This window comes from Homo sapiens, chromosome 9, assembly GCF_000001405.40.
Source record: "Homo sapiens chromosome 9, GRCh38.p14 Primary Assembly".
NCBI classification, from domain to species: Eukaryota; Metazoa; Chordata; class Mammalia; order Primates; family Hominidae; genus Homo; species Homo sapiens.
This window is the reverse complement of record NC_000009.12, coordinates 131,123,348-131,151,274: the sequence shown is the minus strand read 5'-3', so window position 1 is coordinate 131,151,274 and position 27,927 is coordinate 131,123,348. Positions and strand designations below refer to the sequence as shown.

At 42.4% G+C, this 27,927-nt stretch overlaps 1 protein-coding gene and 1 pseudogene across 2 annotated transcripts in view, besides 4 other annotated features; both read right to left on the bottom strand.

The window, feature by feature from the left end:
* NUP214 (nucleoporin 214) overlaps nt 1–25,689 on the bottom strand; it is a 109,078-nt gene extending 83,389 nt beyond the window's left edge. Inside the window, exons 1-16 of one of the 2 annotated variants that reach the window (NM_005085.4) lie at nt 25,526–25,689; nt 23,556–23,751; nt 22,792–22,943; nt 21,798–21,996; nt 20,439–20,509; nt 18,616–18,679; nt 18,066–18,169; nt 16,271–16,377; nt 15,269–15,335; nt 11,868–11,994; nt 10,565–10,726; nt 6,521–6,995; nt 4,971–5,146; nt 3,691–3,785; nt 865–951; nt 510–659 (exon numbers count right to left, since the gene is read on the bottom strand). In NM_005085.4, the coding sequence (NP_005076.3) occupies nt 510–659; nt 865–951; nt 3,691–3,785; nt 4,971–5,146; nt 6,521–6,995; nt 10,565–10,726; nt 11,868–11,994; nt 15,269–15,335; nt 16,271–16,377; nt 18,066–18,169; nt 18,616–18,679; nt 20,439–20,509; nt 21,798–21,996; nt 22,792–22,943; nt 23,556–23,751; nt 25,526–25,570 (2,277 nt within the window). In that variant the 5' untranslated portion in view covers nt 25,571–25,689. Of the gene's footprint in view, nt 1–509; nt 660–864; nt 952–3,690; nt 3,789–4,970; nt 5,147–6,520; nt 6,996–10,564; nt 10,727–11,867; nt 11,995–15,268; nt 15,336–16,270; nt 16,378–18,065; nt 18,170–18,615; nt 18,680–20,438; nt 20,510–21,797; nt 21,997–22,791; nt 22,944–23,555; nt 23,752–25,525 lie in introns of both variants that reach the window. The other variant, NM_001318324.2, reaches the window with a different exon arrangement.
* Nucleotides 1,199–1,493: a silencer, noted in NCBI's record as "tiled region #7681; K562 Repressive non-DNase unmatched - State 25:Art". NCBI's record gives its function as "represses a minimal TATA promoter and a strong SV40 promoter by Sharpr-MPRA in K562 cells {active_cell/tissue: K562}" and the evidence as "EXISTENCE:reporter gene assay evidence [ECO:0000049][PMID:27701403]".
* Nucleotides 6,547–7,048: an enhancer, noted in NCBI's record as "NANOG hESC enhancer chr9:134019614-134020115 (GRCh37/hg19 assembly coordinates)". NCBI's record gives its function as "activates a minimal SCP1, AML or CMV promoter by ChIP-STARR-seq in naive H9 embryonic stem cells {active_cell/tissue: H9 hESC(naive)}" and the evidence as "EXISTENCE:reporter gene assay evidence [ECO:0000049][PMID:30033119]".
* Nucleotides 19,438–19,612: a silencer, noted in NCBI's record as "fragment chr9:134007050-134007224 (GRCh37/hg19 assembly coordinates)". NCBI's record gives its function as "represses an EF-1alpha promoter that drives an FKBP-Casp9 reporter gene in an ReSE screen in K562 erythroleukemia cells {active_cell/tissue: K562}" and the evidence as "EXISTENCE:reporter gene assay evidence [ECO:0000049][PMID:32094911]".
* Nucleotides 24,184–24,285, bottom strand: RNU6-881P (RNA, U6 small nuclear 881, pseudogene; annotated as a pseudogene).
* Nucleotides 25,491–25,790: an enhancer, noted in NCBI's record as "active region_29170". NCBI's record gives its function as "activates an Ori minimal core promoter by ATAC-STARR-seq in GM12878 lymphoblastoid cells {active_cell/tissue: GM12878}" and the evidence as "EXISTENCE:reporter gene assay evidence [ECO:0000049][PMID:35858748]".

Sequence of the window (27,927 nt, the reverse complement as noted above, 5' to 3'; positions counted from 1 at the left end):
AAGTTGTGAGGATTCAGTGAGATAATACAAGTGATGCGTTTGGCACAGTGCCTGGCACACAGTAAGTAGTAATAATGGTTACAATAATTAACACTATTAACACCCAGCATTTAATATTTTCATACTGCATATGTCCTAAAATATCCTTTTTTAAAAATCGAACACTATTTGAGATAGTAAAATTTCAAATAAACCTAAATTAAATTAACAATTATAATAAATTTTATGGAGTGCACAGTATGCATCAAAGGGATAGAAACTTAGTCCATCTTATGATGAGAAAACTGAAAAATAGAGTAACGAGGTTAACTTGCCCAAAGTCACATAATTTATTAAGTGCTGAAGGTAGGATTTGAACTCAGGGATTCTAGGCAAGCTACTCAGCCACGTTAAAAAAACAACAACACTGGTGGTCCTTGAAGAAATAAAGTACATAACCCCATGGAGTACTAGGAGAAAAAAATTGTTAAATGCAATTCAACTCAGGAAAAGTATCCATAAACACAAACCTCTGTGGTCTCTTTAATCTCCAAAAGAAAGGTATGCAAGTCATCTGATTCTGTTCGCAGCATCTTCATCTCCTCAGAAGTGCCCACTTGGAAACAGGCTTTGGAAGTTCGGGCTTTTAACTCTTCCAACTCCTTCTGAAAGTGTGCAATCTGTAGAAGCCACAAGTGAGGAACTACTCAGTCTGAAGGACAAACAGTAATGTCACTGCTATCGTGCTTACTAACTGCTCAGACTGCTGGGATGGGCCATGCTTCAGCGCTAGAATGAACTAACTAGTCATACAGGGGTTGGCACTCTGACCCATCCAAGTCTGTCAGCTACTTTCAGAAAAACACCCTCAGGAAACAAATTTACCTCCTCCCCAATTCCAGCCATTACAGGATCTGAATCTTTCCACTGATGTCCCTGCTTTTCTGCAACAGCAGGCTGAAGTGACTTTGCCTGAAATGGAAGGAAAAGGTTTAAAAACTGCAAGTCATAGCTTCTACAAGCAATTATATCAGAGCCTATTACAGGGAGTGGCGCTCCTGTAACACAGTCATTATTTCTTCACTCATTGTAACGAATCCTTATTTATAGGGTCTCTACTTTGTGTAAGGCATGTTCTAGACAGTGCAGGTAGAGGTGAACAAGTAGATGAGGGCCCAACTCTTATGGAACTTACCTCCTACTGGGACATGTTGAATAATAAAATATAAACACATCTGATAATTTCAGTTGGAGAACAAACAGGGAAACATAAAGAGAATAAAAAAGGGCACTACTTCAGATGAGATGGCCAAGAAAGCCCTCACTGCGGGCTGCCATCTGAACGGAGGCTGCAAGCAGAAAGCAAGCTATGAGATCTTCAGGAAGCACCTGCCAGGCACCAAGAAAGGCAAGTGCAGAGGTCTCAAGGCAGGAGAAACCTTAGCAAAGAAAAAAAGTAAATGTGGGCTCTGTGAAGTCAGGGGAGGCGTTGTAGAGGGCAGGGGTAGAGTCAGGAAGGCAGGCCGGGGTAGGTCATATAAGGTCACACCAAGGAGTTTGGGTTCTATTCTAAACGTGTTGGAAAGCTACTACTGGTGTTTTACAAGAGTTTAAATCTCCTTTATGATTTAAAAGATCCCTCTTGCTGCTATGTAGAGCAGGGATAGCAGAGAGAGTAGTCGAGAGGTTAACAAGGTGAGAGGTGCAACAGCTTGACACAGGATGCTAGCAGGGGGACAGAGCTGTGGGCTTATGACATGTGACACAGCAGAGGGTGGAGCTGACAAGACCTCCCGCCAGCCTGGACTGGGGACAGGTACTGTTAAAGAGAGGGATCTAGGATGCTTCGGGGCTTGGGGCTTGTGCAAACATCTGGTTTGTTAGTGCTACTTACCCATTGGAAAAGGACTAGCCTCTAGGGGAGACAGAAATCAAGAGTTCTGCTTTAAAGATACTATAATTTGAAATGCCCTTTAGACTATTTGATACTTACAACGATTAACACTAGAGAGGTCTTAGACTGCATCAGCATTCATTAACAGCAAACATTTATTTGACAAACACTGTATGTCATGCATCATGCCACACCGTGAACTGTGACCTGGGCACTTACTATGTACCTAGTACAGGTGTGTGTTAGGGTACAAGGGTTGGTTAGAGGGACACAGAAAGGAAAAGACATAACGCTTATTCTCAGGGCACTCAAGTAATCACGTGGGAAACTGACATACAATTCTCTTTACATTATACCATAAAAATAAACTGAGATGATGGACTACAAATCTAAATATGAAAGATAAAATAATAAAGCTTTTAGAAAAACATCTTTTTGACCTTGAAATAGAAAATTATTTCTAAAACATGAAAAGCATTAATCATAAAAGAAAAAACTGATATACTTAATTATATTAAAATGAAGAATGTGTATTCATCAAAGAAACAAAAAAGACAATGAATAGACAATTCACAGTGAGAACATATTTGCACTGTATGTGTGTGCGTGTGTGTGTGTATTCAAGGAACTCACTCTTAAAAATCAGAAGGAAAAAGCCAGACAATCCAACAGAAAAACAGAATAAAGACATGAACAGACACAACATAAAAGAAAATATTCAAATGGCCAATAATCATCTTTTAAAAAGCTTAATTTTGCTAATCATTAGAGAAATACAAATTAAAACCACAAAACCATACAACAAAAGATGAAAAATACCAAGAGTGGCAAGTATGTGGAGCAGCCAGAAGTCTCATACACTCTTGGTGGGAATCTACTAATGAGGAATACATGCAGATTCTATGACCCAGCAATCTCACTCATAGGGATACACCCAAGAGAAACTTGCATATGTGTTCATTGAAGATGTCAACTGGAACGGTCATAGCAGTGCTACATACAATGGCTTAAACCTGGAAACTACTCAAGCGCCCATCAGAGTGGAACAAATAGTTGTAATATAATCACACAATAAATTCCATACAACGACATGGATAAATCTCACAAACATAATGTTGAACAAAGCAGCCAGATACAAGAATACATACTGTACAAATCCACTTGATAGGAGGTACAGGCAGGCTAACCTCATCTATGCTGTTGGAAATCAAATCAGCTACTCTTTGGCAAGAGTAGTGACTAGAAGGGGACAGGTGAAAAAGAACTCTGGGGTTCTGGCCTCCGCCTCCCGGGTTCAAGTGATTCTCATGCCTCAGCCTCCTCAGGAGCTGGGACTACAAGTACGTGCCACCACGCCCGGCTAATTTTTGCGTTTTTAGTAGAGACGGGGTTTCACCATGTCGACCAGGCTAGTCTCGAACTACTGGCCTCAGGTGATCCGCCCGCCTTGGCCTCCCAAAGTGCTGGGATTACAGGCATGACCCACTGTGCCCAGCCAGGTTCTCGTAAAATTCTGTTTCTTGATCTGGATGCTAGTTACCAAGGTATGTTCAGTTGTTGACAATTCACTGAGCTGTACATGTATCATGTGTACTTTTTTCTATTTGTATTATACATGAATAAAAAATTAAAATAGCTAAATGGCTTTTACGAGTATACAAGTATTCAAACCTCGCACTTTGGTATTTACTATCACATAGTCCCAATTACTATGTCCAAGGTCTGAATTATAAAACATGAAAACTCATTTTATTCATAGGTATGCTTGGGGCAGTAAATTAATAAACACAAACATTGCAAGCTGAATTTAAACATACCTGGGGAGAGCCTGGCTTTGCCGCTGGAGGGGTTATCCTGGGTGATTTCTGTACCATTGAGGGCACTGGGCTTGAACTGCCCTGAGCAGATCGTCCTGCTTGAAAAAGAAGTCAGTTAAAATAGATGGCATTTATTACCTTTATTTCTCCTATCACAAATGTCCTTTCTCCAAATCTAAGAAATTAAGTTACACATTGCCCCTGGCCCACTTTCATGATTTATTTTAAAGAGTGATGACCACCAGTTGTGCTAGCCTCTGTTCTAAGATAATGAAAAAAATATATTAAAATTTTAGGAGCCAGGTATGGTGGCTCAAACCTGTAATCCTAGCCTTTTGGGAGGCTGAGGCAGGAGGATTGCTTGAGCCCAGGAGTTTGAGACCAGCCTGAGCAACATGGCAAGACTTTGTCTCTACAAAAAAATTTAAAAATTAGCCGACGGTGGTGGTACATGCCTGTAGTCCCAGCTACTCAGGAGGCTAAGGTGGGAAGATCGCTTGAGCCCAGGAGGTAGAGGCTGCAGTGATGTGCTTGGGTGAGAGAGTGAGAGGGTCTCAAAAAACAAAACAAAACTTCCTGTTTACAGTATGACTGACTGTGAAAATATGAATATAATCACTGCAGGTACTCTCTCCTCTGTACTTTTTTTTTTTTTTGAGACAGAGTCTCGCTCTGTCGCCAGGCTGGAGAGCAGTGGCGTGATCTCGACTCCCTGCAATCTCTGCCTCCTAGGTTCAAGTGATTCTCCCGCCTCAGCCTCCTGAGTAGCTGGGATTACAGGCACCCACCACCACACCTGGCTAATTTTTGTATTTTTAGTAGAGATGGGGTTTTGCCATGTTGGCCAGGCTGGTCTCGAACTCCTAACCTCCGGTGATCCACCTGCCTTGGCCTCCCAAAGTGCTGGGTTTATAGGCGTGAGCCACCGCACCCCGCCAAACAACTCTTGTGCCTGTGCTTCTTAAAGAACTGTTATGTAACTGCTCTTCATGGAGGGCAGGCTCCATATGAAAATAAATGCCCAAGAGCAAGGCATTTTTGACTCATTAAATACACTTAGCTCCATAAGAAGTGTCAGAGAGAAGAGTGGCAGCATTTAAGCAAGAGCAAATCTCCCAATTCAGAGTATGAAAATCACAGCACATTAATCATTAATGTATGATACAGGAAGCAAGAAAAAATAACCTTGTCCAACTATGTTAGCTACGACTCTTAACACTTAAAACCGTTAATCTGAGAAGGCAGGGCTGAGGTCTAAAGTTGTCTGCTTAAAATCATACCTGATGGTGAGGGCAAGACTGAGGACTTCAATGGCACGGAACTAGGTGGTGCTGAGAGAGGTGTGGGGTGGCTGAGTGGTCCAGAAGCAGCTGGCTTGGAGGCAGAAGAGAATGGCGACATCGGGGGTGCGCTCTGGGAGCTACTAACAGGAGTAGAGGTAGCTGCAGCAGTAAACCTGAAAAATGGCAGCCTGAAGGCCTCAGAAGAGCCTGCTAGAAGATTCTTTTACACTAGCATGAGCAATGTCATCAAAAGATAACTTATTATCTTTTATGTTAACTTACAAAGATAACATACTTTTTGCCTTCAGGAAACAAAAATGTTTAGCTATTTCTTATAAAAGGTGAAAGCTGCAAGGAAACATTTATCTTTTCGTCTGCTTATTTAGGAATTAATTATTCAGGGGAAATATCAAAACTAAGTTTATCACAATATGAAATACCAAGTTTATCATGATATGAAATACTATTGTTTCCAGCTGAGTTTTAAACAGGAGGTGGGACACAATTATGCTTAGGAGAGTTAGTACTTTCTCTTACCAAGGAAATTACTGAGAACTCGTTTTGAGAGTGAGCACCTTCTCTGGGGAGTGAAAAAGGAAGAGGAATGCAGGGAACTGTCTTTGGGATACTTATGGCCTAAAGGAAATGTAAAGTCGGTTCCACCTAAAGAGCAAAAGTCTGTAGACAATCTAAACTCCAGCATTAGATGACTGGTCAGATAAACTGTGGTGCAGTCAACAAAATGGAACACTATGCAACCCTTAGCATGAAGTGGATGTGTGCCAATTCAGTATTAACAGTAACTGTGGTGGCAGCAGCACCACCATAGCAACAACAGATAGTACAGGCAAGTAGGGAAAAAGCTGGTAGTACTTATACTCGATGGTTATCTTGGGAACTCATGGTTATCTTGGGAGGGGTTACAAGATATAAGGGATTGCTTCCCTCCAAAAGCTTACATTCTAGTGGGAAGAAAAGAACAAGATAAAGAAGTAAATAAATAAGAAATGAGTGAGCTGCCCGACCCAGATCTGGAGGAAACTGGATACCAACCTAAGAATTAGCAGTGAGCAGCCACGGGGCTTCATAGGGACTGTCAAGCAGAAGAATCACCTAACAATTTACAGTGTCACAAGATGACTTTGTGGCTGTGTAGACAGCAGTTCAGAGAGAGTTAAGGGTAGACACAGGGAGGAAAAAAGACTACAAGGGATTCATTTCCCTTCCAGGATGCATACTCTGGATTGCTTCTTTTTTTAAAATAAGGAATATTTCCTACATTTGTAACGTAAAAAAGCAAAACAAATACCTGAATATAAATCCCATAGTCAAAAAAATAAAATGCTAGCTAAGAGACCCTTCTGGACTCTATTCACTGATGAAATGCCAGTATTTTATGTTGGTTGAATTTTTGCCATTTGCAAGTATCACTCTGGGTAAAAAAATTCTACTCAGTTAACTCCTCTCAGAGTGACTCTACTTTTAGTAAATAACATCCAATATTTCTACCCAACTCACAGAAGAATCAAACTTTAGAAGTGACTTACTTTTCACTAAGGTTGACTTTGACAGCAGAGGTTGAGGGTGGGAAGGAGGGCTTCATTGCTATATTTGGAGCAGACACACTTGGCACTGGTGTGCTTTCCAGGGTAGGCTTAAAACCAGATGATCCAAAGGAGAATGAAGCAGCTGATGGAGCCACAGGAGACGCTGCAGGGGTGGGGGCTAGGGAGGCTTTAGAAGGGGGAACAAAAGAGAAGGTTGATGGGCCAGGGCCTGGGGCTGCTTTGGAGCTGTCGGAGCCACTGGAATATGAAGGGGGCTCCCCAGTGACCGTAGCAGATGACTTCAAAGATGAAGAACCAAAGGAGAACACAGTGGGGGCTCCACCAGCAGGAAGCAAAGAAAAAGTGGCAATGGGAGCAGCAGGTGATGAAGGTGGCAGAGAGGCAGGGGCTGCAGCTGCAGAAGCATCCAGTTTCTGTGGGGCTTGAGAGGAGGTTGGGGTAGTGGGAGTACTTCCTGCAGTGACAAAAAAAGGAAGGAAAATGTTAACACTGTAACAGTGGAGGTTCACATAATAGAAAGCAAGTGAAAAAGAATTTGTGGTAGAATAAAGCCAGAAATGTTACTAGTTTAAGAAGCAAAAAGAACACATGGGTACACAGTTCATGTTGGAGTTTTCAGGTCTCATGAGATAAATGAAACTGAAGGAAAACTAAGGAAAGACATTAGAATAATTGGACTTCATGGACTTCTCAGTGCTACTATGGCACACAAAACAGTTCAGTCACTGCAACATTTCATTAACAACCAGGAAAAAGTTTTAATTCAGACCTCCACCTTATTTCACTAAAAGTAATTCCAGATAAATACACATAGAAAGTCACATAAATACAGGTATCTCAAAACAAAGGAGGCAAATTGATAGATATGTTAGGTCTCAGAATCTAACACCTTGATAAATTTAGAAGTGACCAAAAAAAAAACAATCGCAAAGGGAGAAGGTTAAGATTTGTGTAAAAAATAGCTACTCAGGTACAATAACTAAATGGTAATGAACTAAAAAAAAAGATCCATAGCAAATGACAAATAAGATGTTTTCTATTTTTTAAAAAGCTCATACAAATTGAGATTTTAAAATTTCAGGACTAATAAACAGGGAAACTAACTCACATAAAGAAAACACATTCAATCTCTCTAATCAAAGAAATATAAACAAGGTACATTTTTAATTTGTCCTCTAAATTATAAGAATTTAAATATGTCTAACCCCTTATGTTTGGATGGGTAAAACAAACCTGAAACTTTTTATCACTGGTAGGTAACTAGTATTTTTTTTAAGAAAACATTTTGGCATTGTATAAAAAACTGTAAAAAACAGACCCAGTAATTTCTCTTCTAAGAATAAAGCTTACAAACATAATGCAAAAAATGAAAAAGATATTTAATGCAATCCAAATGGTTAAAAAGAAAAAAAAAAGTCAATGGAAGGCTGGGCGCAGTGGCTCATGCCTGTAATCCCAGAGCTTTGGGAGGGCAAAGCAGGAGGACCCTTTGAGTCCAGGAGTTTGAGACCAGCCTGGGGAACAAAGTGAGACCCTGTTGCTACAAAAAAAATACAAAAATCAGCCAGGTGTGATGGCTTGTGCCTGTAGTCCCAGCTACTTGGGAGGCTGAGGTGGGAGGATCGCTTGGACTTGGGAGACAGAGGCTGCAGTGAGCCAAGATCCTGCCACTACACTCCAGCCTGCACAACAGAGTGAGACCCCTGTCTCAAAAATGAATAATTTTTTTTTCTATTTTCCAAACTTTCCATAAGGTAAAAATATTAATCTTTAAATTAAATAACCAACTAAATAAGAAAAGAATTCTTTGTGTCAATATTTTCTATTTATATTAATAGGACTTGGTTGTTCCAAATTAGCTAAGATGGCAGTTTATCTTCATGGAAGACACTTTGTCTAATGCAACGTAATACTTAGATACAAGTATGAAAATACCACTTTCTGAAAACAAAAATCCAAGTAAACTGTCACATTGATGAAAGTATAATAATGCAAGCAAACCTATTCTGTTAATACTTCTTTATACAATAGATATGGAACCAGCTACAACTAACTTCTGTAAAGACATACATAGATGTTAAAACACTTTCATGCATATTAGGTAAACTGACATGAAAAATATATACCAGACCCTAAATAAATCAAAAGCATTTTTTCCACTGAAAACAGAACTGATTATTGGAAAACCATCATGCTACTACTACTTCTGATCAATACAGCATCCTTAGAACTGCAGTGTAGAAACAGGTGGAACCATTAATGTCTTCTGAACCCATGAAGTAGGCTTTAGCTAGACTTAGCTGATGGGACGGACTTTCTCCCCGCAGGGGCTCTCTTCTACACATCTGAACACAACTATAACCTCTGGACCAACTGTGAAGGAAGAGGGGAGTTTCTCTAGGAAAGGCTAACAGTAAAACTGGCCTCTGATTGTGCTCCAGCATTGAATGGGCTAGTAGCAAAGGCTCAGAAACAAACCTCGTCCCATCCCAGAGGCTCCTAATCTCACAGGCTGCTCTGCTTATTACAGACACACCAGGCAGCTGGGTATAGGTAGTTCATGGTACCCTTATTCATGGCTGAATAAGGAGGAAAAAAAAACAACACAAAGAGTACACACACTATGAATAATGGACTACCCTGATACAACACTCTGCAAGCCATCTGGTATATCACTTGGGGTAGTGCTGCCAGTTGTTAGGGCCCAAGTATCTGAGTGGCTCTATTTGTGATATACAACTCACTGTGCACTGGGATGCAGGAAGAGAATATACCCCTAAGTTATTGCTAACCTTATACAAACCAACTGGTCATACATTTTTGCTTAGGTAAGAAACTGGTCATAATAGAAGAAAAAAATTGTATCAGTTATATACTCACAGAATTCAAAAAGAGAAATATTAGTCAAATTCCAACATATGAAACAATGCTCTTTTTAAAAGTTTTATATTTTCTGGTCATGCACAGTGTATCATGCGTATAATCCCAGCACTTTGGGAGGCTGAAGCAGAAGAATCACATGAGCCCAGGTGTTTGAGACCAGCCTGAGCAACACAGTAAGACCCTATCTCTACAAAACATTTAAAAAATAGCTGCATATGGTGGCGCATGCTTGTAGTTCCAGCTACTTGGGAGGCTTAGGTGACTGCCTGAGCCTGGGAGATTAGGGCTACAGTGAGCTGTGGTCATGCCACTGCACTCCAACCTAGGCAACAGAGTAAGACCCTGTCTCCACAAAAAAAAAAAAAAAAAAAAGTTTCTTTTCACAAGTGATACAAATGTCACTGTAAAAATTGTTTAAATACAGACTAGTATTTATATGTGTGCATTCATTTTCATGGAGGATAGGTACCAAAATGTTGACTGTGGCCATTGTTTTGCATGCTCTCATTTTCCTTCAATAAACATCTATTACTTAAGAAATGTTTCAAAAAGGAGAAAAAAAGTCAAGAAAATATAAACAAAAATCTCCATGTTCCCATCACCCAGAAATAACCACCATTTAGACTTTAAATCCATCTCCAAGTTGTTTTTCTATGTATATGTTTTTTCTCATACAGAAAAGATCACAAAGAATAGTGGTTTTTTTTTTTTTGGTGATGTATTCCACTCACTCCTTCCCTGTCAATAAATATAACATTTATAATTGGTACATGGCATTTCACTGTAAGACTATACAATCATTTCTTTAACCAACCCCCATGATTAAGCACAATGTCTTTTGGATGCACATCACATAATATAGGGTCTTAGAAAACTGTTGGTAAACGACTGGATGCAAATCATCTGGTTGACCTTCCTTCATCTCCGAAGTAAAGTAATGGCTGCAGAATAAAGCTTGAGGGTAGGGGAAGGCAAATATGTACATGCATGTTTAAAAAAAAGATTAGTGTGTGCCTTCCTAAGACAGACCAGGCTGGTAAAGATAATCACTATGTGTCTTCACACCATGTTCATTCTTGGAAATACTCTTGTGCAAGCCCATGGTATTCCCTTACTGATAAAGCAGGCAGAGGCACATACCTGGTGACTTGGGCTGTCGCTCTCCTTCTAATGAAAGTCGCTCTGGTGTTTTGATGAGAGACTTAACCCCAGGATTTTGATTAATCATATAAAATGGACAAAGCACACCATCTGTTGAAAGTAACATGAGAACTGGAGCAGGAGGAAGAGTCTTTTCATCACCTGTTAAAAAAGAAAACAAAAATAAAAAAACCAAGTGAATTTAAGGGCCTGAGCCCAGAAGGCAAAGACTGCCCTCAACATGAAGAGGGTTTAAGGGACTCATCTGAATAGCAGCTCAAGTTAGTTTGTTCTGATTTTATATCTGAACAGCCTTTCGTGCACCAGCTATTTAAAGAGAGTTCCTGCCGCTATCAGATCGCCACCACCCTGCTGGGCCCTGCCTAGAAGCTCCATCAGTCCCGCAGTAGCTCTGACTCTCCCAAAGGTCCCTCAGTTTTTATGAGTGTCTCAGTGGCTTGTGTACCTCAGTGGAGGTAGGCTTGGCATTCCCCTGACCAAGAGAAGAATATCTAAGAAGTACTTAGGTTAGTAGGAAAATGAGACTAGACTCTTTGGAATGGACAGTAGGACACAGAAAGATGAGTCAAACCACTTTATCCTCATTCACAGCTGAATGACAAGTATGTATTTTATCAGTTAAGGCTTCAAGAGAATCAGAGCAAATGAGCTTATCAGAACAAATACTCCTGCCTAACCAGGGAAGGAGCAAGCAACTTAATGGTGCCTGACGGGGACACCTCTCTAAACTTAAGTACCAGATGGCAAAGACTGTTTCTTTTGTGGCACTTTTACATTTCAATGACTACAGTATAGCCAAGCTACTGCAGGGAAGATCTATTCAAAACACATATCTAGGCCCTATTTGGAAACCATGGGCCTGAGGTCTCTATTTTCTAATCCTTGCCTTCAAACCAAGTACTTGTGTGCAGTACCAGATTCGGGTATTGCTTCTTTGGGAGGTCACCAGGGAATTGGATTGGACAAAGAAACCAAGCCATAAAATCCTGATGTTCTATATTTCAACCAGATTCTAAAGTACACCCAGACATGTGCAAGTGTGCAAACATGCACCCACACATACATACAGTGTTTGGCCTTGGTCTCATCAACGAACATCCATTCAAATCAGTTTAGTGTTGTCACAACGCAGCCTGTTATCACTCTTCAGGGAGAAATGTGCTGCCAGAAGCTACAAGTGCCCAGCAGAGTAGACTCTGTCAGTAACATGTAACTGGTGTTTCAATATTAACCCTAACTAGAAAGAAGACTATTTCTGCACTAACTACCAGGCTACACTTACTGATGGTGATTTCCACTTGGTTTGTATAGTCTACGACAACTCCCATGGGCAAGGAGTCATCACTCTTGTCTGTCACAGGCAATTCAGCTCGACTAGAATCCTCCAGTAGCCAAGATTCCCAATTAATCTAAAAAAAAAAAAAAAAAAAAAAAGAAGAAGAAGAAGAAAAAAGAAAAAGCCATGTTGGTTAGAGCTTTGCATTGGTTCCTCCTAACATTGTTCAAATAGGAGAACAGAGATGACTCACTTGGTTTAGACTCAGGTGTTGACTAGGAGGCTCTGAAATCTGAGAAGATGGCCTAAAAGCCAGAAGTACCCCAGCAAATGGGAAGTTAATTTTCCAAATCAACCCCCTCTCTATCTGTTCCTGGTGTATCAAGCCTCTGCCTTGTAAATAAATAACCACTATCATGAACATTTTCTGAGGTACCTTCCATGACAACTAGGGAGATTGCTGACCATGAGGGACAAATCCAACAGCAGCACTAAGCCAGTCAATACCTGCTCCTAGACATTTTGGATTGGGGCCAGGAACTCCAGCTGATCTCTACTGCAGTCTTTCACAGAGAAGCATGTAAGGCTGGTCTGTGCTCAGATGCCCTGCGCTCACTCGTCTATAGAGACAGAGATAACCTTAGTTCTTCTTCCCAGTTCTTGGTACCAGTTCCTCAGGCTGGTCAGCTTTCCTGTCCCCAGATTCCTTGAGAAACTACTAAGTCTTTCTAGTAAACTCCCTTTTTGCTTAAGTGTGCTTGGATAGGCTCTGTTCCTTCCAACAAATGACTCTTGGTTTTTAAAATCACTAACATTTTGCCTAACTTTCAGTGTTGACCAGACTGGGAAGCATGAATCACAGGGGAATAGTGCTTAAAGACCAACAAAGAAAAACAGGCTGGATGTAGTGGTTCATGCCTGTAATCCCAGCACTTTGGGAGGCTGAGGCAGGTGGATCACCTGGGGTCAGGAGTTTGAAACCAGCCTGGTCAACATGGTGAAATCCCGTCTCTACCAGAAATACAAAATTAGCTGGGCGTGTTGGTGTGCAACTGTGGTCCCAGCTACTTGGGAGGCTGAGGCAGGATAATCACTTGAACCCGGAAAGCAGAGGTTGCAGTGAGCCGAGATCATACCACTGCACTCTGGCCTAGGTTATGGGGAGGGGAGGGGAGGGGAGGAGAGCGGAGGGGAGGAGAGGGGAGTGGAGGGAAAGGAAGGAAAAGGAAGGAGAAGGAAAGAGAAGGAAGGAAGGAAGAAGAAAAAAGAGAGAGAGAGAGAAAGCAAGCAAGAAAGCAAGCAGGCAGGCAGTTCAGGAGAGGGAATGAAATCACACTATGTGACTTAGCTATGGAGCAGGTAACAGACACGTTCATATTAAACAAAAACAATCTCAACTTTTAAAAACAGTCTACAGACAAGATAAAGATGACTTATCATTGTAGGACAGAATGCAATTTTACAAAAGAGAAGACGCAGATAACAACTGGAAGGCTACCAAGGGAAAGGGTGGGAGTGCTAAGACATTCCTCTCACAAAGTGGAAGATCAAGAGTTATCACCAGACCGGGAGCTGTGGCTCATGCCTGTAATCCCAGCACTTTGGGAGGCTGAGGCGGGCGGATCACCTGAGGTCAGGAGTTTGAGACCAGCCTGGCCAACAAGGCAAAAACCTGTCTCTACTAAAAAATACAAAAATTAGCCAGGCGTGTTGGCGCATGCCTACAGTCCCAGCTACTAGGAGGCTGAGGCATGAGAATCGCTTGAACCAGGGAGGCGGAGGTTGCAGTGAGCCAAGATGGCGCCAATGCACTGGGTGACAAAGTGAGACTTGGCCTCAAAAAAAAAAAAAAAAAAAAAAAGATACCACCAGAAATGAGGGTAAAAAACACCAATTAAAATTACAAAGGTTCACCAAGATAAGAAATTAAAACAACGCTGTAACTCTTGAGAGGAAGGAGGGGACTGGGGGCCATGTGTGAGCTAGATCATCATTTGCCGTACAGTCAGTAAGGTCTAAAACTAATAACCAATTACTAGTTATAAAGCAGATTTTTCTTTAGGGATAAGGTGGCAGCATTATAAGAAAATGTTTACAAATTAAAAACAGTCCCCTCTAGAAAGCAAACAGGTAGGGCAGGGGTGATTCTTTTCACTTATAAGCCCTTCTCTACTATTTACTTTTCAAAAACATGAACATAAATTATTCTGATAGAAAGTAAAAATAAAATTGCATTTTTAATGTGTGAACATATGAAATACTTGTACTAATAAGAAATTATTACTGAGGTCAATCTAAGATAGTTCTAGAGCAGCAAATCAGATGGCTGAACTCTAGCCTCATCCAAAAGCAGCCACCCCTAGACAATGAGAGCCATGGCCCTCCTAATGGGCCACCTGGCCACCCAGAGAGTGACAGATAAATGCCAATGGTTGAAGAGGCACAAAGTACCTATGTATGGGTGGAGCACAAAGTATCCATGTGGGGAGGAGAAGCACTTGCTTCTTATTTATAAGGGTGCACTAAAGATTTTTAAGTTCAAGCCAGTTTTAAAAAGAAGTTTCCCTTCTTTCGTTGTGCCCTCTCTACAGTCATTCTGCAAAATCTACAAGTGGATAGCGCACCACCACTACCTGGGCCCACTGTGTCCCTGCAAGAAAGACAACGTGAAAGAAGGTTCTTGTATGCAAAGGTGCTTTGCTCCTTCTGACAGTTTTTCAAAGTCAAACAGAAAGTACTTCTGGTGAATCACAATTTAGTGTCATCTGCATGTTTTTCTTTCATAACTGAGGATGGATTATCATTAAATTGTATAGAAGTTGTTTCAAGCAACAGGAATAAAACAAAGATGACAAAACAGGACAAGGCAGAAAAAGCCGCCTACACATCAGGCATACTCCAGTTGGAGGTTAACTGCATGGTATGTTTCCACAGACAGGGGTTGGATCCTAAAAGAACAGAAGCGAAGGAAGTGCTAAGTCTGACACCCGTGTTTCTCCATGCAATAGCCAAGCCATTTGGCCAAGGCACTCTGTCACTGAAGCTTTGCTGTCACGCAGAAACTTGATAAAACAGATGTGAGATCATGTATACCTTAACCACATATAGTTAATTCCCTCCAAAATCTTTTTCAGAAAAGTACCATCAGGAGTTTGTGACCAGCCTGGCCAACATGGCGAAACCCAGTCACTACTAAAAATATAAAAATCAGCCAGGTGTGGTGGCCCGCGCCTACAGTCCCAGCTACTTGGGAGGCTGAGGCACAAAATTGCTTGAACTTGGAAGGCAGAGGTTGCAGTAAGCTGAAATTGCACCACTGCACTCCAGCCTGGACAACAGAGCGAGACTGTCTCAAAATAATAATTTAAAAAAGAAAGCACCACAGAAGTGACAAAAAAGAGATTTACCTGATCACTTTGTCGAGCAAGGATACTAACTTCTGTTGAAGCCGCAGATGCTGCCAGCACTAAATCCCTTAAAGAATAAAACCAGAGACCATTACGTTCAAATACAGCAATAGTTCTAAGCTAACCTGGGTCTGCAGGTAACACCTGTGAGGGCTGCCTCCACATGTCAAAGAGAGAGTAAGGTTTTTTATCTGGTTGAACAAAGGTGGGAAGATTCTAGATGTAAAGCTGAACTTTTTAGTTTCTGTGAGAAAGCCCTGTAGAATCAGCTCAGTGCCTACCTACATGAAGACAAAGGAAAGACACAACAGAATCAAGTCACAGTTCACAATCAATATGCCATCCAAAGGCAGAATAATGTAGCTAGAGGGATGGAAGCTTTGCTTTGAGTAATCTCCATTCCAAAGGGCAACTCTGCTCTCAGGAAACTTTTAATATATTCCTTGAATATCAATATTTTCGTAAGTCATCACTAGGGGTTATTGAGAAAATTAGATTTTTGAAATTAGTATGTATTTAAGATAAATAATTCAAGATTGGGGAAACAGAAATAATAGAAAGACATTATCAAGAATCAGCTGAAAATATGTTCAAGGCATCTCAGCCTCCATTTTCCTCTGTAATGGAAAAGATTTCAGGCTGGGTGCGGTAGCTCACACCTGTAATCTCAGTACTTTGGGAAGCCAGTCTGAGCAACATAGCAAGATCCCATCTCTAAAAACAAAAAACAAAAACCAAAAAACTTATTTAAAAATAAGCCAGGTGTGGTGGCATGTGCTTGTAGTCCCATCTGGGAGGCTGAGGTGGAAGGATCACTTGAGCCTGGGAGTTCCAGGCTTCTGTGAGCTACAATCGTGCCACTGCACTCCAGCCTGGGTAATGGAGTGAGACCCTGCCAATCCATCAATCAATCAATCAGAAAAGATTTCAACATGGGACAAGGTGACTCAGGTGTGATCTTCCAGTGAGAGCAGGAATGCCCTGTCCAGACTCTCTGCTCACCATTCCTCAATGTAACTGAGGTAGTAATGATGCTGTCTCTCCGTGCAGCTGCCATAACAGGGCTCCATAAAGTTCACAAATATCTCTGGGTGCTTTTCTTCTTTTTTCTACAATGAACAAAGCAAGAAAAAAAATTCTCATGTGCAATTTTTCTCAGATCCCACAGCAAAAGAATCTCAAATAATAAATCATTTAAAGTTATATGAGAATATTTACTCAAAGTCCAGATATACGGACATGGTATAAAGGCAGCACTTAGTACAAGGAGTACAAACATTGGCCATCAACCGAACTGCATTTAAACTCTGTTCTGCCACTTTCTGCCCACGAGACATGCAGATTTTTCAACCTTCCTGATACTTAGTGTTCTCATGTGTATACTAGACCTACTAAGCCTACTTCAGAGGCTACTGTAAAGTGTAAAATGAAATGATACATACAAAACTTCCAGCCCAGTACATGAAACATAAGTAGCAGTTAATAAATACTAGTGTTAATATTATCCCCTAGAATAGAAAAAACCTCTAATCTTAAAATAAGGCATCTAGATAAACATATTTCAAAAACTCAACCTTATTAGAAATCCAAAAGAGTTAAAAACAAGACATCTTTTTCAAGTATCAAATTGGCCTCCCTTGACACACAATCTCAAACACATACCAGTCATCATCTATCCCTAACACGGCTTTATTTTCTCCATCACTCTTATCAGTCCTTGATCTCACATTTAGTATTGACTATCCCATTAAAATGTAAGACCAGCCAGGTGTGGTGGCTCAAACCTGTAATCCTAGTGCTCTGAGAGATGAGGCGGGAGAACTGCTTAAAGCCAGGAGTCCGAGACCAGCGTGGGCAACAAAGCAAGACCCTACCTCTGCGAAAAATTTAAAAACAGCTGGCTGTGTTGGTGCATGCCTGTGGTCCCAACTACTCGGGAGGCTGAGGCAGGAGGATGGCTTAAGCCCAAGAATTTGAGGCTGTAGTGAGCTGTGATCGCACCACTACATGCCAGCCTGGGCAACAGAGTGAGATTCTGTCTCTAAAAAATAAATAAAAATTAACAACAACAACAAACTTAAAACCATAAAAGCAAGCCCATCACCTTGATCACTGCTATATACTCAGCTTTAAAGCAGTGCCTAGCACACTGTTGGCATTAAATATTCGAGAGCAAATGAAATAATTTTAAAAATCAAGATACTGTCTTGCTTTTCTAAAATTTATCGAGTTAACCAAGACTCATAGTTTATAGCTTAAGCAAAATCATTTTTTTTTTAACCTCATAACAGTAGAACATGCTGTGGACACTCCAATTTTAGACCCCTGGCCCATGGTGCAGCATGGAAACCTTATACCTGAAGTTGCATAATCACTGCCAGTAAGTAAAAGAACCTGAAATCAGGCCAGGTGCGGTGACGCACACCTGTAATCCCAGCACTTTGAGAAGCCTAGGTGGGCAGATCACTTGAGCTCAGGAGTTCAAGACCAGCCTGGGCAACATGGTGAAACTCCATCTCTACCAAAAAAAAAAAATTAGCCAGGCATAGTGGTGTGCACCTGTAGTACCAGCTACTCAGAAGGCTAAGGTGGGAGGATCACTTGAGTCCAGGAGGTCCAGGCTTCAGTGAGGTGAGATCGCATCACTGCACTCTAGCCTGGGCGACAGAGTGAGATCTTGTCTCAAAAAAAAAAAAAAAAAACACAAACACAAAAAAACCCCTTGAAATCAAAGCCTCCAGCTTTATTAGAAGACTTCTCTAATTCTCAAACAATGAAATTTCTTCCACAGGCATACCGGTAGTAGAGCCATCACCACATCTGGAGACGTTTCCAGGGTCCCATCTGCAGCAGCATACACTATGGCGAAGACGTAGGTACCAATCCACAGCACATCCAGAACTGAAAGACACATCTTAATCAGTAGCTCATAAAAATGACAGCAACCAGATACAAGAAAAAGCAGCTTATGTTTGGAATAGCCACTATGGATAAAAAAAAAATCAAAGGCCCTGATTTCATTGACTAAATATAATGCACAGGTACAATGACCCAAGAAGCCCAAACTCATCCCCAAATGGTAATTTTTCTGCTGGATTATAATCAGGGCAAATTATGAAGAATTGTAATAAAAAGTCGGGATCCATTTCATGTCATTTATCGTGAAACACAGATGTCACCCAGAGGGCCATAATTTACACTGACTTAATTAGCTGTTTGAAATAGTGACATTATTCATAAAGCAAACACCAATACCTCACTGAGCAGGTACATTACATGATTTTGAATTTCTGTAATATACATAACATGTCATTAGAGGTCAGCCCAATAAGAAAAGCAGTTGTTACCTCTGACAGGATGATCTGACTCATAAAACGGAGGACAAGGAATGACTTTTTTTTCCTGCAAAGTCTGAAAGAGATTTGGAGGGGAAAATAAAGTATCAAATGAAACAAATCCTAAACCAATCAAACTGTCAAATCTAATCTATTCCTTAGATGCTACCTGTTCCATCTCCTTGGCCGGGAGAGACTGAAGAAACAGAATAGTGCTATCTACTTCCAGGACTTCATCCTACAGAAACCCATGAACGTGGCTGGGTGTGGTGACTCATGCCTGTAATCTCAACACTTTGGGAGGCCGAGGCAGGTGGATCACCTGAGGTCAGGAGTTCGAGACTAGCCTGGCCAACATGGCGAAACCCCGTCTCTACTAAAAATACATAGCTGGGTGTGGTGGCGGGTGCCGTAATCCCAGCTACTCGGGAGGCTGAGGCAGGAGAACTGCTTGAACCCAGGAGGCATAGGTTGCGGTGAGCTGAAATCACGTCATTGCACTCCAGCCTGGGTGACAAAAGCAAAACTTGGTCTCCAAAAAAAAAAAAAAAAGAAAGAAAAGAAAAGAAACGCATGAACGCATGAACATGTTCAGATATAGGTAATGAGAGTAGTCAATGCAACACCATTTGCAGCAGCAACGCCACTAGCACTGATGCAGACAATCATCAATAGTGGAATAAGGCTGGGCGAGGTGGCTCATGTCTGTAATCCCAGCACTTTGGAAGGCCAAGGTGGGCACACTGCTTGAGCCCAGGAGTTTGAGACCAGCCTGGGCAACATGGCAAAACCCTATCTCTACAAAAAATACAAAAATTAGCTGTGCATGGTGGCAAGTGCCTGTAGTCTCAGCTACCCGGGAGGCTGAAGTGGAAGGATCACCTGAGCCCAGGAGGCTGAGGCTGCAGTGAACCATTACGTTATCACACCATTGCACCCCAGCCTGGGCAACAGAGCAAGACCATCTCTCAAAAAAAAATAATAATAAATAAATAAAAAATTAAGGCAAACAGCAAAGCAAGAAAATTTAAAAAATTGCATTATCTTTTTACAGGTTAGTGTCCTAAAAGATTATGTACCAAATTTCAGGTAACTTTTGGTAATAACAAATAAGAAACATAACCTTAACCTTAAACCTATACCACCTACATTCACCACTCTGCTCCCCTCCTCGCCAGAGAACAGTCTTGAGGAGGAAGGCACAAGAAAGGCCTTAGCACCACCTGTGAATCCCTCCTTCGTGTCCAGGCTCAATAGACATATGGGGGTTCCTTGCAACTCAATTGATATTGAAGGATATTTGTGAACATTATTTCAAGAAATTCACAGGGAGGATGACAGAGTGCACATGCAACAAGAGTATCCATTTTCTTTGGTGCCCATAGTTAGACAAACAGACCTTTAAAGACAGACTCAGTTAAAAGACAAATACTGTGCTTTAACCCAGAGTGATTCTGCATTATCATCATAGTTTTTTCACTAACTCTTTTCCCTTGAGCTGTTTTTATGGAATGGACTGAAAAAGGTGGGGAACAGCGCATAGCGTATGATCACATTTTACATAAAAACAACAACAAAAAAAAAGCAGCTACCCATAGACTATTTGTATAACATCCAGAAAAGTATGGAAGGCTATCTACTCAACACAACATAGTGGGTGCCTCTGGAAGAAGGACTATGGGAAAGGGAAGAGTTCCACTCTTCATTCACTGATGGATTTGTTACAATGAGTATAAATTACTTTTTAATAGGAAAAACAAGAAAGATACTCCCAAACCACCCCCAAAAAAGTGGGCAACTTAAGAAAAATTCTGAAGTTCAAGATAAGAACTTACAGGAAGATACTGGACCACAGTTCCATTCTGTTTTCCCACTGCCAGCTGCTTTCCTTTGGGGCTCCAGCACACTGAGCAAAGACAGTATTACCAAATGAAAACAAGAAAATGGAGCAAACCAATAAGATCTATCACACACAGCTAATTATCAATTCTCATTCCTCTGTCAGTCCATGGAAGATTGTAGGATCATCTCTATCAGGCAAAGTGGAAAAAAGTAAAATCATTTTAACGATATAAGCCAATTGATTTATCACTGGGCTATTGAATTGAAAGCTAAAAATGCTTTTTCAATAGATTACTGCCCAGAAAGCTGCAAAATACAGAAAACTCTGTAGTCTTTACATAAGACAAGGAGAACAGAGAAGGTTTCCAAATACCAAGAAATCACTGGCCGGGCACAGTGGCTCATGCCTGTAATCCCAGCACTTTGGGAGGATGAGACGGACGGATCACTTGAGGTCAGAAGTTCAAGACCAGCCTGGCCAACATGGTGAAACCCCGTCTCTACTAAAATATACAAAAATTAGCTGGGCATGGTGGCAGGCACCTGTAATCCCAACTACTCTGGAGTCTGAGGCAAGAGAATTGCTTGAACCCAGCAGGTGGAGGTTGCAGTGAGCTGAGATCGCGCCACTGCACTCCAGCCTGGGCGACAGAGCAAGACTCTGTCTCAAAAAAAAAACAAAAAAAAAAAAACAAAACCAGAAATCATTCTCCTGCTCCCATTTAATATTTAAAATGCTTTTCCGCCCAAAGGTACAAATGACTTTCAGAGTACCACCGTTACAGATCCAGAAACAATTATTCCCAAAAAACACTTCTAAACCAGCTGTACCAAAATATTTCTCCAGAAATCCCAAGTACATTCAGGTTAAATTATGTATGCTGTTTGGCTTCAAGGACATTAACTATGGGTATAAAGAATACTCTCAGCCGGGCACAGTGCCTCACACCTGTAATCCTAGCATATGCGGGGTGGAGGAGGGCAGATCACTTGAGGTCAGGAGTTCAAGACCAGCCTGGCCAACATGGTGAAACCTTGTCTCTACAAAAAATACAAAAATTAGCTGGGCATGGTGGCGCATGTCTATAATCCCAGCTATTTGGGTGGCCGAGGCACGAGAATTGCTTGAACCCAGGAGGTGGAGGTTGCAGTGGCTGAGATGATGCCACTGTACTCCAGCCTGGGCGACACAGTGAGACTGTCTCAAAAAAGAATACCTTCCATCCTTAACCTCCCTCGTCATGAAAAAAAAAACCAAAACACAAAAAGCTATCCACTTTCACTTCTAGAAATCAATTCTTAAGTAGATGACCATGATTGTATGCTACAGTGTGAAAGCCTTTATTACTCACCAGAGGTTACTGCTACCGTGGAAGGAAGAGTTGCACATACTTTCACTGTTTCCGTGACTTGCAGGACAGCAATACTACCATCAGCCAGACAAACTGCCACCATGGAGGGGACAGTGGGGTTCCACTTCATATCAATCACCATGCCTCCTGCATCTTTCAAAAGCTTATGATAGGCAAATGGGCGTTTTTGCTGTTTAGCCTTTTAAAACAAATATGCAAAAGTGAAATAAGTTAACAAATAGTAAATGCAGAAACATTTAATATTCAATGGAAATTACTGAATACACAAGGTATCTCAAATCAGTTTATTTTTCTCCATAACCATAAAAAAAGATTGTTTTATGCATCAATCTATTTGCTATAGACAATTTCAACACAACTTTGAAAATGGCAATCAATTATTCTAACATGCTTAGGGGGACTCTCAGAAGGGGAATGCACAATTGCAAAATAACCAATAAATAGCAGACAATAGATTAAAATCTTGGCTCTGCTTCTTAATAATGTTGGGACCTTGGACAGTTACTTAAACTCTGAGCCTGTTTCTCTACCTATAAAATGAAGATAATAGTACCTACTACATAAGGCTGTGGTAGGCATGAACGAGGGACAAGGCATATAAAGCACTTAGTACAGAGTCTAACACACACAGTCAGTATAAACACTCACTATTATTATCATTCTTAAACTGCTTGGAATGGAAGAACATCCAAAATGTAGGAACTTTTGACATTATGTATTCATCTATGACTTTGGGCAAGTCACCTAAGCCTCCTGATAACAACTTAGGGCAGATGGCGTTATGAAAGAATTTCTTGAAGTCCCTTCTGTCTCAAAGATCTATGATTCTATAATTAAGGATTTTTTTTTAACCCATATTTTAATCTAGAGAGAAACTTCAAGGGTTAACCTATGAAGCTTCCAAGTTGTAATTCAATACAAGGAAATCTGCTTAGGGTTCTCATGTTGACATCACAGTATAACAGTAGCTTACCTCATTTGAGAATGTGCGAACATCAAAAAAAGCAATAATGGAACCATATTCACTGGACATCATGCACGCAGAGAGTGTGAGGTTATCACAGCTCAAGGCCAGGTGATGGATTGGGAATTTCATAGGAACTAGCAAGCCTTGGACTTTATCAACTATGAAAACAAAAAAATACAAAGCAGAAAACGGTATGTTCTAAGCATAAAGCCACAACCTCTATCCAGTTCGATGTGAAAAAATTTTTGCATCTACATAAACACACATACACCCCAATACCTAGTTATACAGATAAATCTTAACTTTCTTAAAGATATATAATGATGGATTAAGTATCCCTGGAATTCTTCCTCATACAATCTGGGGAAACTAACTGTGGCTGCTGCCCTTGTTGAAAATATTTTTGCAACAATGCTCTAAATAGTACACCTTGCCAATAGTTTGGATCATACTGTTGTGCCAACTGAAAACCCATGCCAATAAAACCCTTCACCCAGAGAGCCAGAGCCCAAGTTCAACTGAGCAAAAATAAAAGCATGGCATAATGGTTAAGTTCTTCCCTGTTGAGCTGAGAGGAACAACTCATGTAAGGAGAAATACAAAGGACCAAGGAGAAAACCTAGAAAGGCTTCCATTAATCTTCTTGGGAGTCAACCTTCAAACTGACAGCAGTGTTCATTTTAGTATTAGAATGACTTCTTGGGAAGGAAACACAAGAGCATGCCACCATACTCCTCTCTCTACTTTGCAACATAAACCAGGGAACTTACCTATTTTGTTGGGATCATCTCCGGGTTTATTTTGAATAAGAAGATTTTTAGTAGGAAAAATCTGCAAGCCACTGGCTCCACCAGCGAAGACCAGACCATATTTGTTGGACACAGCAAGCAGACTCGAGCGTTCCTTGGGCAATTCCTCAGGGGAGTCAAAGATTCTCACCTTCTTTAGCGCTCTAAACTGAAAATCCTGTTGTGAAGAATCAAAACGAGATCAATTCAATAAAGAAAGAAATTAAAACATGTTATATTCAGTAGACCCAATTTCAGTACAACAAAAATATGTATTACTGAGACCAAGGTCTGTCTCAATTGTCTTTTTTTCTTTTTTGAGATGGAGTCTCGCTCTGTCGTCCAGGCTGGAGTGCAGTGCAGCGATCTTGGCTCACTGCAACCTCTGCCTCCCAGGTTCAAGCGATTCTCCTGCTTCAGACTCCCAAGTAGCTGGGATTACAGGCACCCGCCACCATGGCCATCTAATTTTTGTATTTTTAGTAGACACAGGGTTTCATTATGTTGGCCAGGCTAGTCTCGAACTCCGGACCTCAAGTGATCCATCCACCTCAGCCTCCCAAAGTGCAAGCTCACAGGCATGAGCCACCACACTCGGCCCTCATTTTTTTCTGATATGGAACACTTCATGAATTTGTCTGTCATCCATGTAAAGGGGCCATAATAGTCTTCTCTGCATGATCCCAATTTTATATGTGCTGCCAAAGGGAGTGCGAGATTACCATCTTCTAAGTCTGTGGTTCTATTAATAAAACCTTTTTTTCTTCTACCCCAGCATATCTGAGGAATATGACACAACCCCATTAGGTGGCTCACCACAGGTGGTGATTCTCAAAAAATAATCACTATTCTAGGACAGCACGGTAGCTCACGCCTATAATCCCAGCACTTTGGGAGCCAGAGGAGGGCGGATCACGTTAGGTCAGGAGTTCGAGACCAGCCTGGCCAACATCGTGAAACCCAGTCTCTACCAAATGATATAAAAAATTAGTGGGGCGTGGTGGCAGGCGCCTGTAATACCAGCTACTAGGGAGGTTGAAGCAGGAGAATCGCTTGAGCCGGGGAGGTGGAGGTTGCAGGGAGCCGAGATCATGCCACTGCACTCCAGCTTGGGTGACAGAGCAAGACTCTGTCTCAAAAAAAAAAAAAAATCACTATTCTAAACATGGTATTACTATGCCCTAAATGCATTTTAGTGATTTATTGTTCACACAGATGCCTAAAATCTTCCTGCAACTTACTTCTTTTCACTATTTAAAACAGATGTAGCCCGTCTGTTGTACCCTCATTCTGTCAGAACCCATATAAGAACTATTAAACACACCATCCTGAAGTTATCCCTGGGGGACTCCCACGTTGCTATCACTGGGACCACTTGGCCCTCCCTTTAGGTTCCTGACTTTAGGCTGATATACCGAGGTCAAAATAGTCTTCCTAGTCCAATCAACTAAAGGTTCTGCAGGATGGATGACCTTCCCTGACTCTACGTTAGGCAAGCCCGTATCACCTTACAGAAGTACTGGGAGAGCAAAGGTCTTAAATGATGCTGGCTTTCAGCCCCGCGTCAAATGTGACTTTAGGGAAATTACTTTCCGAGCCTCAACTTACTCCTCTACGTTAACGACTACTTCGTAGGGCTGCCGCGATGACTACCACAGTGCCTGGCACACAGTCAACACTCAATAAACAGCAGTTATTGCCACTATTGTGACCGCCCCAGGAAGTAGCTAGGGTAACTCAACAGCCGTGCACGAGACCAGGATGGGACTGGGAAACTGCATTCGGTGGGGCTATCACGCCAGCGGCGCGGCAGACGCGCTGGTGAGAGCTGTGAACGCGGTAAACTGTTCAAGCAGGAGGCGGGACAGCCAGCACCGCGCTTCGCCTTTCAGCTGGGCTCCAAGGCAACGCCAGGACTAAAGAAGGGAGGGAGGCCCCGGTTAGTCTCTGACCTTCATCTCCCGCTCGGGAATCATGGCATCCATCTCGTCTCCCATCGCGCCGCCCTCAGTGTGTCGAAGCAGCCAACGCTGCCTCCCACGGCCTTGCCCACGGAACCCAGGCCGCTCGACAGCAAACTTCCTCCCCTCAGCGCCAGCGGCGCGCAGTTGACCTCGCATTTCCGGCGCGCTTTGGTGACGTCAAGCTTGGTCAGAGGAAGCCGCGGAACCTAGCGAAGCCGCGCGTTCTTCCGGCCGCCGCTCCCCATTGGCCAGCTCGGGCTGAGTAGTGGCGTGGCCGTGAGGTCCCTGCGCCTGCGCCCTGGATGGTCCTGGTGCCGCTCCCGCCTTCGCAGCCAGCGCGGGCTTACCTAGTGTTAAGTCTCTCTTCTTGGGTGGCCCACGCCTAAGCGACCTATGCTTCTTGTTCTTCTGAAATCTTACAGTTCCCCTTAGATGTAGGTTGGCTATTGGTAGCTTCCGATTCAGATAAGTTTGGAACTTGACAGATGTTTTCGGGGGGCTGCTTTAGAGAGAGGCTTTGGACTATGCAAGGGGAGGAAGGGAGGTTCAGAAAAACGGGGTCGGGGGGTCGGCAGGGACGACTCTTAAAGTGTGGAAGGTGGAAGGCTGGGAGGGGAGATTAAAGGGCACCGAAGACCAGCTTTGTTTGCTCCTATCAAGGTGATCCTTTCCAGAGCAAGAGCCATATCCATGTCTAGTCGCACGAGTTTGTGCCAAGTCCTTTGCAAAAACCTTCAGATGTGGGATCTCATGTAATCTTGAAGACATCTTAGTCGTCCTAGGGGTTATTTATTTAATTGATGAGACGCGGGTGGCTCATGCCTATAATCCCAGCACTTGGGAGGCGGAGACAGGAGGATTGCTTGAGACCAGGAGTTTGAGACCAGCCTCGGCAACATGGCGAGACCCCGTCTCTATAAAAAACAAAACAAAACCACAAAAATTAGCCAGCAGTGATGGCATGCGTATGTAGTCTCAGCTACTCGGGAGGCTGAGGTGGGAGAATTGCCTGAGCCCAGGAGGTTGAGGCTACAGGGAGCTGTGATTGCACCATTGCACTCCAGCCTGGGTGACAGAGCCAGGCCCTGTCTCAAAAAGTAAATAAAAGGCCGGGCGCGGTGGCTCACGCCTGTAATCCCAGCACTTTGCGAGGCCGAGGCGGGCGGATCACGAGGTCAGGAGATGGAGACCATCCTGGCTAACACGGTGAAACCCCGACTCTACTAAAAATACAAAAAATTAGCCGGGCGCGGTGGCGGGCACCTGTAGTCCCAGCTACTCGGGAGGCTGAGGCAGGAGAATGGCGTGAACCCGGGAGGCGGAGGTTGCAGTGAGCAGAGACAGCGCCACTGCAGTCTGGCCTGGGCGAAAGAGCGAGACTCCGTCTCAAAAAAAAAAAAAAAAAAAAAGTAAATAAAAATAGGCTGGGAGCAGTGGCTCACGCCTGTAACCACAGTACTTTGGGAGGCCGAGGTGGGTGGAACACCTGAGGTCAGGAGCTCGAGACCAGCCTGGCCAACATGGTGAAACCCCGTCTCTGCTAAAAATACAACAATTAGCCGGGTGTGGTGGCGGACGCCTGTGTTCCCAGCTATACAGGAGGCTGAGGCAGGAGAATCGCATGAACACAAAAGGTGGAGGTTGCAGTGAGCTAAGATTGTGCCACTGCACTCCAGCCTGGGTGACAGAGTGAGACTCTGTCTCAGAAAAAAAAAAAAAAAAAAAAAAAAATATATATATATATATATATATACACACACACACACACATATATATATACACACACACACATATATATATATATACACACACACACATACACATACATAATAATAATTGATGAGGTAAGGGAGGCACAGAGAAGTTGAGAAAATTCTCCAATAGCCCTCAGTCAGAAAGTGGTGGTGACAGGATTAGAATTGAGATCGTCTGGATAAGGCTGACTGATGGTATTAAAGTCCTTCATAGAATACATTTCTGTAGTGAATTATAAATGCTCTAGGACAGAGGTTCTTTTTTTTTTTTGAGACGGAGTCTCACTCTGTCACTCATGCTGGAGTGCAGTGGCGCGATCTCGGCTCACTGCAAGCTCTGCCTCCCGGGTTCACAGCATTCTCCTGCCTCAGCTTCCCAAGTAGCTGGGACTACAGGCGGCCGCCACCACGCCCGGCTAATTTTTTGTATTTTTAGTAGAGACGGGGTTTCACCGTGTTAGCCAGGATGGTCTCCATCTCCTGACCTCGTGATCCGCCCACCTCAGCCTCCCAAAGTGCTGGGATTACAGGCGTGAGCCACCGCGCCCGGCCGACAGAGGTTCTTAACTTGGACCTCATGGGTTGGCTCCAGGGGGGTCGGATTGTGCCATTTACTGTTTGGCTTGCAGCACATTG